Here is a 2,439-nt window from a genome sequence, read left to right as displayed (position 1 = left end):
GAGCAATGGCATCTCTGTCTTTATTTTCTTTACTAATAAAATGTACTTTCTACAAATATAGAAGATGACAGGAGTGTATGCATAGATAATTATAGGAATTCAGCTCTCCGTTTGCCTAGGGAAATCAGCTCTGTTTCAAAGATTTTTAAAAAATGCTTTCTCATAGTACTTTTTCTCCTGTTGAGCACCTTCTGATTGTTGACAGTAATGTTTGCAATTTCTTTTTCTCAGAAACTTTGTGCTCATGTCAGGATTCTCTCCACAGTGTTCCTGCAGGTGTATTGATTATTCTTTCCCACAGTAAAAGAACAAGTCCACCTTCAGTGAGGCCACTCTGGCTTAGAATGATCAAACATTCTACCATGTACACTCTGTGGATCTGGGCAGATCACACCCACTTCATGGGCCAGATTTCTCACCTGCTTTGTTGGAATGATGACGTCTACCTCACTGGATTGCAGCACAAATACATTGAGATTCTAATTGTGAATGCCCCTGAGGAAGTGTGTGGCTTATTAAAACACTCAGTGGGCCAGGCGCGGTGGCTCATGCCTGTAATCCCAGCACTTTGGGAGGCCAAGGTGAGCCGATCATGAAGTCAAGAGATCAAGACCATCCTGGCCAACATGGTGAAACTCTGTCTCTATGAAAAATACTAAAATTAGCTGGGTGTGGTGGCGCATGCCTGTAGTCCCAGCTACTTGGGAGGCTGAGGCAGGAGAATTGCTTGAACCTGGGAGGCTGAGATTGCACCACTGTGCTCCAGCCTGGCGACAAAGTGAGACTCCGTCTCGAAAACAAACAAAAAAACAAAGAACACTCAGTGAGCATTCTTGTCCTTCTCTTCCTCAAAACAGAATAAGAATTCCTCCCATTTATTGAACGTGTGATGTGCACTAAGCATCTAATCTGCATGTTCTTCTGTTATCCTCAGCACAATATGAGGTAGGCACTACAAATTCATTTTGTAGATGAAGAAAACGAGAGATTTAGAGATTTGACTTTAGTTTCTTAATTATAACAGGAAGAGCCAGAATTGGAAGCCAGATATATCTAACTTCATAATGGATTAATTCAAGCACCACACTAGCTCCTCCTCAATCCTCATAGAGAGATGGCTTGATATGTTGTACATAAGCTGGTTTGAGTTATATGCGTGTTTTACCACTTGGGAGTCACATATGTAATGTCAGGCACTCAAAAATCCTCCCCTTTTCCCACAGTGAGACACTGTTTCCCATATCTCTGTATTCCAGAGCAGTAGCAACCAAATAGTGCCACACATTTCCTTCTGCCTGGTGAAGGATTCCCTTTCAGAGGAAAGAGACTCAGAGCCTCAGGTCCCTGGGTATCTTCTGTCCTTTGGAGGCAACTGACCTTTCATTTTGTTGTTGTACAAACTCAGAAACTCATTGCAGACTCTGCAAGCAGCGAGTACCCCTTGCTAACTTAGAAGGGTTTTGAGCTAGCCCTGGAAGATGGTCCTTCTCCATATCTTCAACAACACCTGGAAGCTGCCTCTTTCTCTGTAGTCTTAGCCCACTTGTTATGATCATTCTACAAATGCAAGGTGGCTTCTCCTGCCACAACAATGCTTTGTGAATATTTTCATTGCATCTGTGAATTCCTTTGTGGACCAGGTCCTACGCTAGAAGCTGGGGATTCAGAGGGGCCAAACTATAATATGCGAGGAGTGCTACACTCTCTGAACAGAAGAACAGATATTAAAACAATATTCCAAGTAAGTATTTGCAAGAGATCTATGCATAGTTAAGAGAAGCACAGAGTCCTGTACAAGCATGAGACAAAGGGCCTTGAAGAGCCTAGGGCATAAGAGTTGAGAAGTATAATAGTTTCCTGTTGCTGCTGCAACCAGTTACCATACAACTGGTGGCTGAAGACAAAACATATTTATCATCTTACAGTTCTCGGAGCAAGAAGTCCAAAACTCATCTTAAGGGGCTAAAATTGAGCTGTTGGCAGGGCTGTATTCCTCCTGGAGGCTCTAAGGGAGATCCCATTTCCTTGTCTCTTCCAGCTTCTGGGGGCTGTCTGCATTCTTCAGTCCCTGGCTCTCAGCCTGCAATCCATCACAACATCTGCTTCCATCCTTACATCCCCTTCTGATGGAATACTACTCAGCCATTAAAAGGAATGAATTAATACTGCATTCACAGTAACCTGGATTGGAGACTATTATTCTAAGTGAAGGAACTCAGGAATGGAAAACCAAGCATTGTATGTTCTCACTCATAAGTGGGAGCTAAGCTATGAGGATGCAAAGGCATAAGAATGATTCAGTGGACTTTGGGGACTTGGGGGAATATAGTGGGAAGTGGGTGAGGGATAAAAGTTGACAAATTGGGTTCAATGTATACTGCTCGGGTGATGGGTGCACCAAAATCTCAAAAATCACCACTAAAGAACTTACACGTGTAA

The 2,439-nt window shown here is 43.0% G+C and overlaps 1 annotated feature.

Annotated features, from left to right (window-relative positions):
* Window positions 731–900: an enhancer, noted in NCBI's record as "experimental_45133 CRE fragment used in MPRA reporter constructs". NCBI's record gives its function as "activates a minimal promoter by MPRAs in K562 erythroleukemia cells, with activity observed for the introgressed 16:77187669 variant allele {active_cell/tissue: K562}" and the evidence as "EXISTENCE:reporter gene assay evidence [ECO:0000049][PMID:34662402]".

The sequence above is a fragment of the Homo sapiens genome, chromosome 16 (genome assembly GCF_000001405.40).
Source record: "Homo sapiens chromosome 16, GRCh38.p14 Primary Assembly".
Lineage (NCBI taxonomy): Eukaryota > Metazoa > Chordata > Mammalia > Primates > Hominidae > Homo > Homo sapiens.
This window is presented reverse-complemented; position numbering and strand designations above follow the sequence as displayed.